This window comes from Homo sapiens, chromosome 11 (genome assembly GCF_000001405.40).
Source record: "Homo sapiens chromosome 11, GRCh38.p14 Primary Assembly".
Lineage (NCBI taxonomy): Eukaryota > Metazoa > Chordata > Mammalia > Primates > Hominidae > Homo > Homo sapiens.
This window is the reverse complement of record NC_000011.10, coordinates 134,547,678-134,566,800: the sequence shown is the minus strand read 5'-3', so window position 1 is coordinate 134,566,800 and position 19,123 is coordinate 134,547,678. Positions and strand designations below refer to the sequence as shown.

The 19,123-nt window shown below is 45.1% G+C and overlaps 1 long non-coding RNA gene across 1 annotated transcript; it reads right to left on the bottom strand.

Annotated features, from left to right (window-relative positions):
- LOC124902799 (uncharacterized) lies at positions 1-4,952 on the bottom strand. Its single transcript, XR_007062962.1, has 3 exons — positions 4,746-4,952; positions 486-582; positions 1-387 (listed from the first exon to the last, which is right to left on the bottom strand). It is a non-coding gene; the product is annotated as an uncharacterized LOC124902799 (long non-coding RNA).
- Positions 4,953-19,123: the final 14,171 nt, after the last annotated feature.

Genomic DNA, 19,123 nt, shown 5'->3' with positions numbered 1-19,123 from the left:
ATGAATGCAAAGATGGTAGTGTCATCTGGCCCTTCTCCTAAGCCCACCGTTCTCAACATCTCACACTGAATGTACAAGGAACAGTCACTCCTTTCCTGCATCTGTCAATGTACCTGGGTTCCAAGTTTCAGAGCAGAAACCAAAATAAATTAGATTGGAAATGTAGGCTTCTTAGCTATTAGAGAGGCAGAGAAGATGCTTGTAAGCCTGCCGTTTCTCTTTTCTTCTCTCCTCTACCCTGGCCGTAAAAAACCTAGCAGGATGCCTGAGCAGCATTTGCTATTAAGCAGGACAAGACTCTATTCAATGCCCAAGGCAGTAGATGGGGCTGCTGGGGCTGGGATTGCAGGCTGCGGAAGTGATCCAGATAGGACTACAAAGTCATAGCTGTGTGGGTGATGGGAAAAGAGAAAGAGAATTATCTGGCCTTTTTCACTGGCTGAAAAATATTAGAAATTATTTCCAATGTCTCGGAGAAAAATTACCCAATTTTAGTTCCAGTGGCTGGGAGGTCTGGAGTTTTCTTCAGCACAGGGAAGAGATTCAGCATTAGGGAGCTCTATGTCTCCCTCAGTCCCATTCCTAGAAGCAAAAATTTTGATGTCAACAAACTCTGTAGAGCAAAGTACAGCTACAGGGATAAGTGAGTAGCTCTCAAGGCTAGCTCCTAGGTGGTCAAAGTCAAATAAACCTCACCATTATTTTCTCCTACTCTTTCCTCTCATCATTCTCACTAGCAACATTACATCACTTTGAGCAACTCCATGAGGGGATGAGTGTGAAGGCGTGGGACGTGAAGTCTCCACTTAAACATTCTATGAGTGCCCCAAACCCAACACATCCAGAATTAGGCTTATCACCTACCCCCAAAGCCTACTTCTCCTCTGATATTCTTTCTCCCCATTTGCCCAAACTGGAAACTTTGGAGTCGTCCCTGATAGCCCTCATACTCTTGTTTTTCATGTATAACATTCTAACAGTGCCCTTGTTTCTATAGGCCTCATCTAAGAGTCACTTCAATCTGTCTCTTTTTCTGCTTCCCCTTGGCCTTCATCATCATCACTGTCACCATCATCATCATTATCGCCATCATCATCATCATTATCACCATCATTGTCACCATCATCACCATCCTCATCACGTCACCATCGTCATCATTATCGCCTTCATTGTCACCATCATCACCATCACCATCACCGTCACCGTCATCACCATCATCATCACTGTCACCATCGTCATCATTATCGCCATCACCGTCACCGTCATCTCCATCATCATCACTGTCACCATTGTGAAAGGAAAGTATTCTGGGCCCACAAAATCACTACTGAAAACTCAAGCTGAAAACTGCTTAGGGCAAACCTGCCTCCCATTCTATTCAAAGTTATCTTTCTGCTCACTGAGATCGATGCATTTCTGATTTGCCTCCTTTGGAAAGACTAATCAGAAACTCAAAAGAATGCAACCGTTTGTGTCTCCCTTATCTGTGACCTGGAAGCCCCTCCCTACTTCAAGTCTTCAAGTCTTCCTGACTTTGCTTGAAGTTGCCCCTCCTTTCCAGTCCGAACCAATGTACTTCTTACCTATATTGATTGATGTATCATGTCTCTCTAAAATGTATAAAACCAAGCTATGCCCCAACCACCCTGGACACATGTCATCAGGACTTTCTGAGGCTGTGTCACGGGTGTGTCCTTAACCTTTGAAAAATAAACTTTCTAAATTAACTGAGACCTGTCTCAGACTTCCTGGGTTCACATCATCATCGTTATTGTCATTATCATCATCGTCATTATCATCATCATTGTCATCATCACCACCATAACCATCATTATCATTACCATAATTATCATCATCACCTTCAGCAACAGCATCATTATTGTTATTATTATTGTCATTTTCATCATCATTGTCATCATTATCATTATTGTCATTGCTGTGGACCTATCACACTGGCCTTCATCTTCTCCCTCTTCAACACACACCCATCTGTCAAGCTGGCCCCAAGAATCTCAAGTCTTATTATGTCAACTTCATTTTCAGACTCCTGAAGGTCCCATGTGGCTGGCAGGTTAAATCAACCACAGAGGCACAGCAGAGGGTCTTGTCATCATGGGGTTGTCACTGACCTTACTGGCCTCACTCCCTGCTTCCCTTCTCTGGGCATGGCCTCGCAGAACTTCTCTCCAACACTTGAAAAAGGCGTACGATTTGGCATCTCTAAGCTTTGGTTTATGCTCTTTGCTCTTGCCTCCTCCTGCATTCTGACCCCTCCAACTCCTCCTCCACAATATGGCACAGATGTCACCTCTCCTGAGAAGTCTTTTCCGGGTCTTCACTCCTGCTGCTATGCATTTACCAGCCATTGCACTTCTATTTCTTTTTTGTTCTCAATTTTTAAGCATTTACTACACATGAAATATCATACTAAGTGCCTTAAATAATATAGCTCATCTAATTTAATACCCGTAACAATCCTGCAAGGCAGATACTGTAATTATCCCCGTTTTACTGATGAAGAGAATGAGTCCTAAGTTAGATAACTTATCCAAAGTCTTGGCCGGGCATGGTGGCTCATGCCTGTAATCCAAGCATGGGAGGCTTGGATGTAATCCACTTTGGGAGGCCAAGGTGGGCAGATCACCTGAGGTCAGGAGTTCAAGACCAGCCTGGCCAACTTGGTGAAATCCCATCTCTACTAAAAACACAAAATTAGCTGGGCATGGTGGTGGGTGCCTGTAATCCAAGCTACACAGGAGGCTGAGGCAGGAGAATCACCTGAACCCGGGAAATGGCGGTTGCAGAGAGCCAAGACCGCACCATTGCACTCCAGCCTGGGCTAAAAATCAAAACTCCATCTCAAAAAAAAAAAAAAAGTCTCAAATCCAGCTATAACTGAGATTTTAACTCGGATCTGAGGGCCCCTGAGTCCTGGCCTTCTCACCAAGTGGAATAGTTCTCAAGGCTTTGTGCTGCCCCCTGCACTGGCTGTGGGCTTGCTGACTATGGACATGAGTGGTGCCTGCACAGAACAGAAGCTCCATCATTCCTCCGAAGATGGTGGCAATCCCACCATGCCTACAACGAGGAGCACACGAGATGTCTCTAGTCTCCCGTTTTAAATGCTCGGATAACTCACAGCAAGCATTAAAACATAGAGTCCTCATTATGGGGCCGGAGGCACGGACATGTTGAACAAACACCATCCCTGTCCTTGAGGAGCACATTTCACAACACAATCCAGCTAAAGAGGAAGAAAGGCTCAGAAGCCTACCGCGTGTCAGGGCTGGAAATCAGCCTCGCCTTACCTGTCCTCCAGCTCCTCTCAGCAATTCTCTAAAGGGAAGGCCCCATCCCTGGACCTACCTCAGAGGCTCCTCAGACCCACCACCTCAGCCGGCTGAGCTCCAGTCTGAAATGAAGTCACCTTGAGGGTGGCCTGCCATCCCCTCCCACTGCCCCCACCCAGAGCCAGCTCTCCTTCCTTATCAGCTGCCCCACCTGACACCTGCCCTCCCCAGGCAGTCCCACAGCTGGTCTGGAGAGCATTCCCCATCTCAGCCTCCAGCTTCCCCAAGAGCCCAGAGCAGCACTTCGACCCCCTGTGAACAGCAGGAGTCAGACCCCCAAGCACTGCCTGCCTGCCCGGGGCAGACCACCACGTCCTCTGGTGAGAAGGGGCTGGGCAGCGGCCTGGGGCAGTGGGACTGCAGTGCACTCTCTCGCCAGCCTGGAGTCTCCCAGGGGCAAGCCACAGAGGTGGGGACAGGCAGAGACACTCTGATGCCAGGGAGCTGAGAGGGCCTTTCTCCCCTGCAGAGTGCTCGTGAGCACCTGTGAACACATACCAGGGGATTGTGGGGCCATGAGCGAGTGGACTCTAACTGCCACTCTATGCAAGCAGCCTCAGGTAGGGAGCCACCCACAGCCTGGGGCTCAGTCTGCAGAGGCCTCCAGCTCTGTGGCCCTGGGCGAGTTAAACAGCCTCAGTGGGCCTTTCTTTGGCCTTTTCTAAGATGGACACTGTGATAATAGTATATTCCTGGTAGGGTTTTGGAAGGATGAAAGAGTTATCATATGTTAATTAGGTAGAGTAGTCTCAGGAAAATATCAATAGTGTCATTTTATCCTTGATGTGGGGCCCAGTGCAATGGGGCTATGTAGCCACAGTGAATGGATTCGAAAGAGGGATTTCCTTGTGAGTATTTTGCTTTTCAATCCGCAGAAGAGGCTCAACTTCCTTTCCCTGCTTTGCCTTCATATGATGTCAAACTCCAGGAACTCCTGTGGGCCTCAGTCCCCATCCCCCCTCCCAGAACAAGCGGAGAGGCAGCTGCTTAGACCCTGAGATGAGATGCCTGGGACAAAAGCTGCCAGGCACAGTGGTGTGGCCTGTGGTGTGGAGAGTGGGCAGTCCCAGCCCAGGCTGTCCTTTCCCTGACCCCTAAGAAAGGCATGAGAGCTGTTCTCTGAGCTCCGTGGGCAGTGACTTCTGACTGAGCCTCACCTAAGCACTATCACGCCCTGTTGTCATTCTCTCTGTCTGCCACTGGCCTTCAAATGCAGGGACCCTGTGGCCTCATCAACCCTAGCCTTGACCATGGCAGCAGGAAAACAGTAGTTGCTCAATAAATATTAGACAGACGAATGAATGAATGGATGAATGAATGAGGTTTCAGGGTAAGGTTGGGAAGATAAGAATTGAAGCCGCAACAAAGAGCCCTCCCCCAAACCCCTGGGCCAACCTGCTGCTGCATCCCTGATGTGAGAAAATCCTGGGGTGAGATCCCTTCATCATCAGCCGTTCCAAATGGCAGCAGCCTCTAACGCAGAGTGTGGCAGTGTGGAAGAGGGGCAGGGAGTCTCTCCAGTCCCTGTAACATGCAGAGTGTGGCAGTGTGGAAGAGGGGCAGGACGTCTTTGCAGTCCCTGTAACAGTCACTAAATTAATGTCGCATTTGATGGTTTGTTGATTAATATCCTAAAATAATTTATTTCTAGTTATGTTTGAAATGTGTGTTTGTAAGTACTGATTTGACACAAATATTAAATAAAGTAGAATATTTACAAAATTCTTCACCTGGAGACTCTAGGAAAATCCATAGCTCAGTAACTTGGAAGCCTGTGAAACCTCCACTTTGATAGGGAGAGGCAAACCGCCCTGAGGGCACCGACCAACCCTGCTCTCCCAGCTGACGGGCCTGCCCTGGAGAGCGCCCAGGCTTCCCAGTGGGGACCGAGAGGCTGGACAACAATAAAACAAGCCTGGACACTCGCAAAGCACCTCAAAACGCAGCCCTGAGGGAGGAGGAAGGTGTCTCACTTATGCCATTTGACAGCTGAGAAAACCAAGGCTCTGTGCAATTTTAGTGCCAGCCACTACAAGACTCCCTCCAGAAAGGAGGGCGCTCCAGGCAAAGCCTCTCCCTGGAGCTGGCCAGTGCTCTTCAACCCCCCTTGGAGCCCAAGCCTACCCACCTGGGCACAGCCTGGGGCCCCACGAATCCCCCCTCACCTGCACTAAAGGGCTATGACCAGAACATTCTCATTCACCACCCCACACACATTCCTGAAAGGCCCACTGAGGGCCAGCAGAGCCGGCCTGAGAGCTGTGCCTGGGACAGCTGCCTGCCCAAGGGAAGCAGGATGCATTCCTGAGATGCAGCTGGCCCCAGGGAGCTCCAGCCCCATGGCAGCAGTACAGGCTGTGAGCGGTCGAGAGCCCTCCCTGGGAGTCCACTGGGATCTGTGGGCACCACCACCCGGTGTTCCCCAGGCCTTCCTAACCCCCAGCCACTGCCACTCAGCCAGGCCCAGCTGGGGGCTGAGGTTACAGAGGCCAGAGAGGAGACAGCACTTCTTCCAAGCTTCCTGGGCCCTGCTGGCCCCCCCCCATCGAAGCTGCTGCACTGCAGAAAAATAAAACCTCAGACAATTTTTTTTAAGCAGGAGGAGGAGGGGGTAAAAAATAGCAGCCCACAATTAGGGAGCTGCTGAACTTCTGAGCAAACTAATGAAGAAACCAGCCCTTGACGGCTTCCCCACTGCCGCCGACGGGATAATTGTGCCTCATTTCTTAATTTTAATGCCGTTGTTGCATTTGGCTTCTGCTAATGAGATGTAAATATGTGTTGCGGGTTTGTGGATTTGTTTAATTGCAGGGTATCTAAACTGAGATTGGCCAGAAGGTTAGTCTTCCTTATTTTTTATTTTTATATGCCCCTGCTTTCAAGCAAAGACAGTGAGGCTGGGAGGGTGGTGGCTGCGGCTGTTGTTTGCCTCTGTCCCTGTCCTCCTCTTCTTTGGAAGACAGAAAGGAAGACCTAGGGCTTCCTGGTTGAGGGCTGGTGGTTTTGAGGTATGGAAAGGGGGATGAAGGGAGGGCTACCGGAAGCCTTTCCCTCCCCAGGACAACCTGCTGCTACACCCCTCCTTGGCCAGGCTGATGGAAAGATATCCGTCTCCTCACCAAGGAAGAAGGAGGACGTGGGCTGGGCCCAGCTGTGGTCTGGAGCAGCAGGTGGGGTTCAGACCAAAGCTGCATGCAAAGTGGCAGCCAGGCAGCAGGGGCGGGAGGGGCTGAGGTCTCACATCTCATCTCTGACACATCAGCCTTGGGGGCACGGAGGAGCTAGTCCAGAGACTGGAGAGACAGTGGATGTTCAAGCCTCCCAGTAGCGCTGCTTCCATGTCTGAGTGCTGGGACTGTTCTCAGCCTCACCTCCTGTCCTCAGCTGGGATATGGCTATCAACAGCCCTATGAGGAAGGGGCTATCATTGCTGCCATTTAACACATGGGATAACAAGGTAAGAGAGGTTAGTAAGTTTCTCAGAGTCACGGAGCCAAGTGGTGCAATGAGGTTGGAAGCTGGGGCAGTCCTACAGCAAAGCTGATGCTCTCTGCTGGAGTCACACTTCCTCTTATCTACACCATCAGTCTGGCATGGGTCCCAACGCCGGCCCCCACAGAAACCCACCTCTGTGCTTGGGTAACTTACCACAGCAGCAGCACGGGAGAGAATCTGCTGGGCCAGCAGCCGAGATGGATCCCAGGCCCCGCTGGGAGGCCTCCATGGCAGGGCTGTGCCTGGTCATCCGGCAGAGCCGGGACCTCTCCCCACACTCACCATGTCCCAGAAGCAGCCAGGCCCCCTGCAGACTCCACGCCAGCATTTGCATCCCTCTGGAGAAGGGAGCACTTCCTCATGCTTGAGAGAAGTCCTTGATCCCGAGGTTTTAAGTGGAATCTTCACCAGCCGCTCTCAAGAACAATTTCAGATATTTAAAGGAAGACACTAGGTATCCCCTCAGCCTTCTCTTTGTAGAGATAAACCATCTTGATTGCCTCGGCCTCTCCTCCTGAGCTAGGTTCCTCTGAGACCCTCTGACAACTCTCCCCGGGGTCTCCTCAATGCTTTGGACCCCAGACTTACTTGAGAACCACTTTAGTCAGGGTGAGAGTAGCAAAAATATTCCTTCTTGGTCCTCACAAGGAGTGATGCTTAGAAATCAGCAACGTGCTTCTTTGGAACCCTCCTCCCTGCCCCGTCCTCGCCTCCCTGCCCCGTCCTCGCCTCCCTGCCCCGTCCTCGCCTCCCTGCCCCGTCCTCGCCTCCCTGCCCCGCCACCTCTAGTCTGAGTTCCATTTCCAGGCCACTTTGCTGTCTTTTGGGGAAAGAAACTGATGAAACAGTGCCTCCAGGTGACACCTTGTGTTACTTCTCCCAGAGGTATCTGCATTTTAACCAGCATATTCTGATAAACTGAGATCTTAACGCCCAACAGAAGGAATTACTAAAGGTGAAATTTCCCAGTCAACTAAGAAAAACAAACAACTTTAAGAAGAGAGTCCTCCTATCTCAGTATCGAGATGGGGGGTAGGGGGTACGAACACTGCCCCTGCCGGTGCAGACGCCCTGCCTGTGTGCCCGCGTCTCCCCACATTTCTTCTTCTCTGGGATCTTTGAGCTACTTCTATGTTTTCCTTCCTGTGTTCCTCCCAGCATTTGCTTTTCTCCTTTGCTTTCATGAGTGCCTCCAGATGAAGTACAAGGTGCTCTCAGCAGGCATCAGGACACCCACCCTCTAGTCCCAGCTCAGATGCCCAACACAAGCCTGGAGAAATGCACTCCAGGACACTTTCCCAAGGCGAAGGCTCCCAGGATGGGGAGGAAAGGCATCTGGTCTCCCCATCTATCTATGGCGGGAACATCTGACCCCACATTCCAGGCAACAGCTTGTCCAGCCTATGCTTGGATCCTTCCAAGAACCCAGTTCTTCCCAGTGTACCCTTTCATCCATGAGCAGTTCTGAGGCAAGGACTTCTCGTTGGACTGATCTGAAATGGATCTCCCACTACCCTGGAGCAATAGGTTCTGGTCCACTCATAGGAGGTCATATGAGGAAAACAGGAGTTGGGGGACCTGGGCTCACCCTTCCCAGCAGCCATGTGCTCTTGGGCAGTCATTTGTCCCCATTTGAACAACAAGAATAATAATCTCTACCTCAAAGTGGCTATTGTGAGGACTAAGTAAGTTTATGCGTGTAGAGTGCCTCCTCCACATAGGAGGAGAATGATTAGTTAAAGCTCAGCCTTCTCTACACAAGGCCGTTTCAAATTTTGTAGACAGCAGTAATGCCTCACCTCCATTCTTTTGAGACATGCTTTAGGCATTTAGGTAAAATGACTCAACATCCCGCCACAATTCCAGCTTCTTCATGGAAATGACATAGTAACAACCTCACTTACCCTGTTTACCTCCAAGGGCCATGTAGAGTGTCAAACACAGTCATAAACCTGGCAAAACTGCAAAGTACTAAGACCAAGTTAGGTATCATTCCTTCCGGTTTTCCTGTACCTCCTTCTCCTTCTATTTCTCTTTGCCGCTTGCCTCTACCCCTTGTCTCTTTCTCTTTTTTCTTCAGCCACCGCATCACTCCCTATCAGCCCTTTCTCTTTCTTCCTCTGCCCTCTCCACTTCACTCTGCAGCAGCTGCCCTGGGCTCCACACACCCCTGCTGGCTGGGGTGGGGAGCACAGCGGGAGGCAGACTTGGGGCCCCTCCAACAGCCTCTGAGAGAATTCACAGCTATTCATTCCCTTGCATGTGTGGTGGAAAAAGTGCATCTGCCTTCATTTAATAATGATAATAGAAAACAATATTTATCCTATGAAGAAAGCCAGGTGAACACTTTGAAAACAAGAAGATCCTCCTTAGCCAGCCAGTCAGCTCATGACACAGCTCCAATGTAATTGATGATGTTGTCGATCTCGCCAAAGGCCTGTGTCTCTCTGGGTTGGCTACCTGGACCCATCACACGAGCACTGAGCAAGAAAACCTGGCTGGAGAAGTACCTCATCTATAAGCTCTTCTGACAGGCACAAGGAGTAAAATGTAGGGATATGTAATAAATTTGGCAGAGTGCCCCATTGTGTCCTATTCTTGAAGAGCAATGATTCACAACCTTAGATGCTTATTAAAATTACAGAGAAGTCTTTCCATGTCGATACCCGAGTCCTACCCTAGACTAAGTGTGTCTGTCTTTAGGCTTCATGTCTGGGCATTATTGTTGTTTTTGTTTGTTTTTGAGAGCTTAAGAGAAAAACTGTCCAACCCTTAGGATGGCTCTCTAAGAATAAGGGGTCTGTGGCTCTGGGTTTAGAGGTACCAGATCCCAAAACCTGTTCAGTCCTCAACCTTGACCTTGTTGGAGCTCAGAAACCAATACCCCAGAAGGCCTCAGAAGCAACCTCAGAAGTAAGAGTTTCTCTCTGACCTTCTCCCCTCCTGTCTCTCAGTCGTATTCTCCCCTGAAGCTGGCCATAGAAACCAGAATCCCTCTTCCCCAAGGCAGGTCATAGTTATCAGAAGCCCCTTTTCCCCAAAGCCAGCCATACAACCTAAAATATGACTCTAACTTTTTCTCTACCCTATGTGTGTACAAACTGGCCACAAAGAAATGATCTTACCTGCCTTGTTTGACAGTAGGTCATAAGACCCCCATTCCAGAGAGAGCTCTGCCCCTTACCCAGAAAGGGGGTTGCTGCTGTGAGAAGCCAGGGAGAATCTAGACAGACAGGCCTGGCTGGTCTCCCCACTCAGTCTATTAGCATTAGATCAGACTGCTTTTGTCCAATCCTCTTTCTGTGTGATTGTCTATACTTCATTGAACCTAAGCATAAAAATGGACAATTTCCCCTGTAACTTTAGATCTTCATCCTGAAGGCCTCCATGTACACACATTAAATGAATTTGTGTGCCTTTTCTCCTATCATTCTGACTTTTGTGAGTTGGTTTTTCAGCCAACCTTCAGAGGGTAAAGGATAACTCTCCTGCCTTGGCCCCTACAACCTCCTGGAGCCAGCTAGAACTCTGGGATCCCACGCGTGAGGTTGCAGACAAGAGCCCGATAGACAGTCCCTACCCAAGCTCAGCCCAGAGGATGGAGTCTTCCTCCCTGGAAAAATGATCATTCCAGACACAGGCATCTGGATCCCACCAGCTGCTCCTGGAAGAAACATTCCAGTACAATTTATTCTCAGGCTGAAAACAACACAGAACCAGTGTTCAGCAGGGACACCACATGGTGGTGAGACACGAGACCATTGGATTAGGCCTCAGGTCTCTGTTTGTAGAAGTGAACCGATTTCCTTTTTGAGCTTCCAAAGCCCCAGATAACCTTCAGACAATTCATAGAGAAAACCTAAAAAAGTAGATAATATATTAACTTCCCTACCGATATCTACAGTGTCAACATTTGACTGGAAAAATGAATTCGTTGTATCAGTGTTTGCACCTCAAGTTTGTAGGGCAACTCTTACAGATTGTATAACAAGAGCTAGCCCATCTCTGCTTATGTCTCATGAGTACACATTTAACCTTCCTCACGGCCTGGACAAGGTCAACCACTTTTCAGGGCAGTCAATCTCAAAGTTCTTTGACCAGAGGAGTTTTTGTCCTGAAGCCACCGTTCCCGCCTCTGTTCCCACAGGACTAGTTCTACATCAATGAAGGCCATCAGCATGTACGTCCTTCTCCATAAAACCATGCAGCCTAACTTGGAAGCTGCTACAGCTTGCATCCTGGCCTGCAGCCTTGCCTTCCCAGGGCCAAACTCTGTTCTTCCGCGACCCAGAGATTTGGGTGCTTTGAGAACTGGGAGGTAAAAGGGGTGGGTGCGTGGAGGAAGGCCAACTGAGAGTCAGAAGACCTCAGTTTCAGCCCTGGTGGTTCCATTCACCCTGTGCGACCTTGAGGGGTGTCCCTCATGTCTCTGGCCTGTAGATTCTTCATCGATAAAAGAAAAAGGTGACTTGAGATGGTCTCAGAGGCCTTGTTAGTTCCAGTTACCTGTGACTCATAGTGGGGAGGTGTTGGTGAAAGGGCTGGAGAGGACCCTGTGGGGGACCAATTTCTCCACACTTTTGTATGCACCACTTCATCCCAAATATTTGATAACCTTACTTGGTCTCTGAAACTTTTATGCAAAAAGACTTTTAAAAAATCTTATACTTTTATTCCTCTGCAGTTTCAGTCTCTGGGATCTGGCCTCTGTGCAGACATAAGGATGTTGAAAGGAATGATGGCATCCACCAATCCAACCTCCCACTGGCACAGTCACCTAAAGGCTTGTGAAAATCTCCATTGCATCAACCCCAGTATCAAAGCCTCAGTGTGCCTCACTTTGCTAGGAGCGATGCCACATCTCCCATTCCTGGATAGAGGGAGGGCTCCAGGAGAACTGAAGTGTGTGAGTCCCTGTGGCCTGGAAGGAGAGGAGAGAAACCAGGGGCATAGTCTGGGGCCATAGTGCCAAGGACTGAGTATCCTGGGGCTTCCAGCTGCAGGAACGGTGCCTGAGGATGGAAGCTGGAGGCCAGGACCAGGTGGACAGCTCCTAATCAGGTAGCCAGCAAACAACAAATTGGGGATGCTACGTTAGAACTAGGAAGAAAAGACGATGCTACGTTAGAACTAAGAAGAAAAGACGATGCTACGTTAGAACTAGGGAGAAAAGACGATGCTACGTTAGAACTAGGGAGAAAAGACGATGCTACGTTAGAACTAGGAAGAAAAGACAGTTCAAGCAGGACATCAGTAAGCTGTAAGTCAGCTAAGGGAGAAGAGGAAAAAGCAGGTTGAAAATGGACAGTGGATGGTGTAGGGCCTGGATCTTTTCTTGCACCGCAGTGAAAGTGGTTGTGGAAACGTTTTACACAGTTCCTGAGGCATTTAAAGGGGAAATGCCAGCCAGAGTGGACCCAGAGTGCATGAGTTGGGCAAAGATTTGCTTTTTATTTCTTTTTTTTATTTTCCAAAGAAGAGATCTCCATTTAGAGCCCCAGTCCCACTCTGTCAGGACATCCTGAATCTCAGTCCCCAGGTCCACAAAAGACCTCCCGTCCCCCCAACAGCTGTGCATTGACCTCACTGACTACACACAGCCCCAAGCCCATGTCGAGTCAAAACCACCATCCCTCAGCCTGTGGGCCAGGTACCGGGTTCAGTGCACTCAGTGACGCAAGAGCCCTGGGCAGCTGTCCTGGAGCCACTGGCCAAGCCCATGGAAACAGCCCTCCTTGTCACTCACCCGCTGTCACTCCAGGGAGCTGGGGAGTCTGCACCCTGGCAGCAGGGAAAGGGGTCTGATGTTCCATGTTTTTTAATGAACGTTTTTGTTCTATGTATTTATTTTTATATTTATTTATTTACATATTTATGTATTTATTTATTTTTTAAGAGATGGTATCTCGCTCTGTTGCCCACGCTGGAGTTGTGTGATGCTGTCTCGGCTCACTGCAACTTCCACCTCTCAGATTCAAGAGATTCTCCTGCTTCAGCTTCCCAAGTAGCTGGGACTATAGGTATGCACCTCTACGCCCAGCTAATTTTTATATTTTAGTAAAGACAGCGTTTCACTATATGTTGGTCAGGGTGGTCTCAAACTCCTGACCTCAGGTGATCCAGGTGATCCAACTGCCTTGGCCTCCCAAAGTGCTGGGATTACAGGCATGAGCCACTGCACCCAGCCTATTTATTTTTAATTAATAGACTTTTTAAAGCAGTTTTAGGTTTACAGAATAGTTTATTGGAAAATCCAAAAACTCCCATAGATCCCCTTACCCTCCCTACACATCTTCCTTATTTTTAACATCTTGCCTAAATGTGGTATGTTTGTTACAATTGATGAGCCAAGAGTGAGACATCATTTCACTAAATGTACATACTTTACATTAGGGGCCACTGTTGGTATTATACACTCTATGGATTTTGACAAATATGTAATGACATGTGCCCATCATTACAGTATTATATAGAATAGTTTCACTTCCCTAAAGGTCCTCTGTGCTCCACCAATGCATCCCTCCCTCCCCCTGACGCCCACCAGCCCCCGGCACTCAATGACCTGTCTTCATAGTTTTCTAGAGTGCCTTATAGTTGGAATCATACAGAATATACCCCTTTCAGATTGGTTTTTTTACTTAGCAATATGCATTTAAGGTTCCTGTATGTCTTTTCATGATTTGATAGCTCATTTCTAAAAAACCACTGAACGTTTCATTGTCCGAATGTACCACAGTTTGACAGACAACTTGGTTGCTTCCAAGTTTTGGCAATTATGATTAAAGCTGCTATAGACAGTCACGTGCGGGGTTTTTGCAGACATAAGTTTTCAATTCATTTGGGTAAATACCTAGGAGAACAATTGCTAGATTTATGGTAAGAGTGTGTTTAATTTTATTATTTTAAAAAACTGCCAAGCTGTCTTCAACAGTAGCTGTACCAGTTTGCATTTCCACCAGAAATAAACAAGAGTTCCTGTTGCTCCACATCCTTGCCAATATTTGATGTTGTCAGCATTTTGGATTTTACTGTTCTAATAAGTGTATAGTGGTATCTCATTCTTTTACTTTGCAATCCTCTGACGACATGATGTTGATTATTTCTTCATAGGCTTATTTGCCAGCTGCATATCTTGTTTGGTGAGGTGTCTGTTCTGACATTTTCCCCATTTTTAAATTAGGTTGTTGGTTTTCTTATGGTTGAGTTGTGACAGTTCTTTTCAGATGCCAGTCCTTTATCCAATAAGTTTGCAAACGTTATTTCCCAGTCTGACTCATGTTTTTATTCTTCTAGCAGTGTGTTTCACAGAGTGGAAGTTTTTAATTATAATGCCGTCCAACTTGTCAGTTTGTTCTTTCATGGATTATGCTTTTGGCATTGTAACTAAAATGTCATCACCAAACCAAAGCTCACCTAGCTTATCACCTATGTTATATGCTGGAAATTTTATAGTTTTGCATTTTACATTTAGGTCTACGATCCATTTGAGTTCATTGTGAAAGGTGTAAGGTCTGCGTATTATTTTGTATGTGGATGTCCAATTGCTCCAAAACTGTCTGTTGAAAAGCCTCTTTCTCCATTAAGTGGTCTTTGCTTCTTTGTCAAAGGTTAGTTGAGTATGTTTGTGTAGATCTATATCTGGGCTCTCCATTCTGTTCCATTGATCCATTTGTCTGTTCTTTTGCCAGTAGGGCACTGTGTTGTTTACTATAACTTTATGTTAAATCTTAAAGTCACGTACAGGTAGTCCTCCAACTTTCCTCTTCCAGTGAATCTTTTTTTTTTTTTTTTGGATTTTTGCCTTTTCCAATTATCTTTAGAATCAGTTTTGTTAAAATATCTACAGGATAACTAGCTGGGACTTTAATTGGGATTGCATTAAATCCATAGACCAGGTAGAGAAGAACTGACATCTTGATAATATTGAGTATTCCTGTCCATGTCCATGGAATATCTATTTTATTTACATCTTCTTTGATTTCTTTCATGAGATTTTGGTAGTTTTCTTCATATGAATATTGTACATATTTTGTTAGATGTTTACATAAGTACTTTTTGCTGGTAATATAGACAGCATTGAGCTTTTAATTTTAAATTCTAGTCATTCATTTCTCAAAAGAAAGCATAACCTGTATTCTGCAACTTTGTCATAATCACTTATTAGTTCCAAGAGTTTGTTGTTGTTGTTGTTGGTGGTGGTGGTGGTGGTGGTGGTGGTGGTGGTGGTTCTTTGGGATTTTTTACATAAACAATCATGTCATCTGGGAACAAACACAATTTTATTTCTTCCTTCCCAATCTGTATACATTTCATTTCCTTTCCTTTATTTTTCTTGTTGCATTAGCTAGAACTTCCAGTACAATGTTAAAAAGGAGTGGCAGAACAACAAAAAAAAGAGAATTTTAGACCAATATCCTTGATGAACATCGATGCAAAAATCCTCAATAAAATACGGGCAAACCGAATCCAGCAGCACATCAAAAAGCTTATCCACCATGATCAAGTGGGCTTCATTCCTGGGATGCAAGGCTGGTTCAACATAAGCAAATCAATAAACATAATCCAGCATATAAACAGAACCAAAGACAAAAACCACATGATTATCTCAATAGACACAGAAAAGGCCTTTGACAAAATTCAACAACGCTTCATGCTAAAAACTCTCAATAAATTAGGTATTGATGGAATGTATCTCAAAATAATAACAGCTATCTGTGACAAATCCACAGCCAATATCATACTGAATGGGCAAAAACTGGAAGCATTCCCTTTGAAAACTGGCACAAGACAGGGATGCCCTCTCTCACCACTCCTATTCAACATAGTGTTGGAAGTTCTGGCCAGGGCAGTCAGGCAGGGAAGGAAATAAAAGGTATTCAATTAGGAAAACAGGAAGTCAAGTTGTCCCTGCTTGCAGGTGACATGATTGTATATCTAGAAAACCCCATCGTCTCAGCCCAAAATCTCTTTAAGCTGATAGGCAACTTCAGCAAAGTCTCAGGATACAAAATCAATGTGCAAAAATCACAAGCATTCTTATACACCAATGACAGACAAACAGAGAGCCAAATCATGAGTGAACTCCCATTCACAATTGCTTCAAAGAGAATAAAATACCTAGGAATCCAACTTACAAGGGATGTGAAGGACCTCTTCAAGGAGAACTACAAACTACTGCTGAATGAAATAAAAGAGTATACAAACAAATAGAAGAACATTTCATGCTCATGGGTAGGAAGAATCAATATCATGAAAATGGCCATGCTGCCCAAGGTAATTTATGGATTCAATGCCATCCCCAGCAAGCTACCAAAGACTTTCTTCACAGAATTGGAGAAAACTACTTTAAAGTTCATATGGAACCAAAAAGAGCTCACATTGCCATGTCAATCCTAAGCCAAAAGAACAAAGCTGGAGGCATCACACTACCTGACTTCAAACTATACTACAAGGCTACAGTAACCAAAACAGCATGGTATTTGTACCAAAACAGAGATATAGACCAATGGAACAGAACAGAGCCCTCAGAAATAATGCCACATATCTACAACTATCTGATATTTGACAAACCTGACAAAAACAAGAAATGGGGAAAGGATTCCCTATTTAATAAATGGTGCTGGGAAAACTGGCTAGCCATATGTAGAAAGCTGAAACTTGATCCCTTCCTTACACCTTATACAAAAATTAATTCAAGATGGATTAAAGACTTAAATATTAGACCTAAAACCATAAAAACCCTAGAAGAACACCTAGGCAATACCATTCTGGACATAGGCATGGGCAAGGACTTCATGTCTAAAACACCAAAAGCAATGGCAACAAAAGCCAAAATTGACAAATGGGATCTAATGAAACTAAAGAGCTTCTGCACAGCAAAAGAAACTACCATCAGAGTGAACAGGCAACCTACAGAATGGGAGAAAATTTTTGCAATCTACTCATCTGACAAAGGGCTAATATCCAGAATCTACAAAGAACTTAAACAACTTTACAAGAAAAAATCAAACAACCCCATCAAAAAGTGGGCAAAGGATATGGACAGACACTTCTCAAAAGAAGACATTTATGCAGCCAAAAGACACATGAAGAAATGCTCATCATCACTGGCCATCAGATAAATGCAAATCAAAACCACAATGAGATACCATCTACACCAGTTAGAATGGTGATCATTAAAAAGTCAGGGAACAACAGGTGCTGGAGAGGATGTGGAGAAATAGGAACACTTTTACACTGCTGGTGGGATTGTAAACTAGTTCAACCATTGTGGAAGACAGTGTGGTGATTCCTCAAGGATCTAGAACTAGAAATACAATTTGACCCAGCCATCCCAATACTGGGTATATACCCAAAGGATTATAAATCATGCTGCTATAAAGACACATGCACACGTATGTTTATTGCGGCACTACTCACAATAGCAAAGACTTGGAACCAAGCCAAATGTCTAACAATGATAGACTGGATTAAGAAAATGTGGCACATATACACCACGGAATACTATGCAGCCATAAAAAATGATGAGTTCATGTCCTTTGTAGGGACATGGATGAAGCTGGAAACCATCATTCTCAGCAAACTATCACAAGGACAAAAAACCAAACACCGCATGTTCTCAATCATAGGTGGGAATTGAACAATGAGTACACATGGACACAGGAAGGGGAACATCACACACCGGGCCTGTTGTGGGGTGGGGGGAGTGGGGAGGGATAGCATTAGGAGATATGCCTACTGCTAAATGACGAGTTAATGGGTGCAGCACACCAACATGGCACATGTATACATATGTAACTAACCTGCACATTGTGCACATGCACCCTAAAACTTAAAGTATATTTAAAAAAAAAAGAAAAAAGAAAATATGGTACAAAAAAAAAGGAGTGGCAGGAGAGACATTCTTGCCTTCTTCGTGATCTTAGCAGAAAAGCATCTAATTTCTCACCATTCAGATGTTTTTCACCATGTTCTCACCATGTTAGATGTAGTTGTTTTGTAGATGTTCTTTATCAAGTTAAGAAAGATCCCCCCTCTATTTCTTGTTTATTGAGAGTTTTTATCATGAAGAGGTATTAGATTTTGTCAACTGCTTTTTCTGCATCTATTGACATAATAATATGTCTTTTTCCTTTTACCTGTTGGTATCTTGAATTACATTAATTTAATTTCAACTCTTGAGCCACCCTTGTGTACCTGGGATAAATCCTACTTAGCCATGGTATGTAATTCTTTCTCTGCGTTGTTGGGATTGGCATTTTATTGAGATTTGAGATTTTTTACATGTATATTTATGAGAAATATACGTTTGTAGCTTTCCTTTAATGTAATGTCTACCCGGTTTAGGTATTAACATAATGCTGGTCTGATATAATGAGTATGAAGTACTCGATCTACTTCTATTTTCTGAAAGAGATTGTTGAGAATTGTAATAATTTCTTCCTTAAATGTATTGTAGAATTCACCAGTGAAACCATGTGGGCTTGTGCTTTCTGTTTTGGAAGGTTATTATTTATTAATTCAGTGTCTTTAAGAGATATAGGCCTATTCAAATTATCTATTTCTTTTGTTGTGAGTTTTGAAAAATTGTGTCTTTCAAAGAATTGGTCCATTTCACCTAGGTTATCAAATTTGTGGGTGTACAGTTGTTCTTATAACATTTTCTCATTATCCTTTTAATGTCCATAAGGTCAGCAGAGATTAGCTCTCTTTCATTTTTGATAGCAATCATTTGTGTGTTCTCTCTTTCTTAGTTAACCTGGTTAGTGGCTTATCGATTCTATTGAGCTTTTCAAAGAACCATCTTTTGGTCCTGTTGATATTCTCTATTGATTTCCTGCTTTCAATTTCATTGATTTGTGCTCTACTTAGTATTACTTTTCTTCTATATACTTTGAATTTAATTTCCTCTCCTTATTGTAGCTTCCCACGGTAGAAAATTTGATTATTAATTTTTTCTTTCCTAATATCTGCATCCAATGCTAAAAATAGCCCTCTAAGCATTGACTTAACTGTATCCTACCAATTTTGATAAGTTGTATTTTAATTTTTCATTTATTTTGAAATATTTTTAAATTACTCTTGAGACTTCCTTTGACTCATGTTTTATTTAGATGTGTGTTGTTTAATCTCCAAATATTATGGATTTTCTGGCTACTTTTCTGTTATTGATTTCAATTTTAATTTCATTAATGTTTTAGAGATGATCCAAGACGTCTTGGTATAATTTCTGTCATTTTAAATATGCTAAGGTGCGTTTCATGTCCCATAATTCTTTC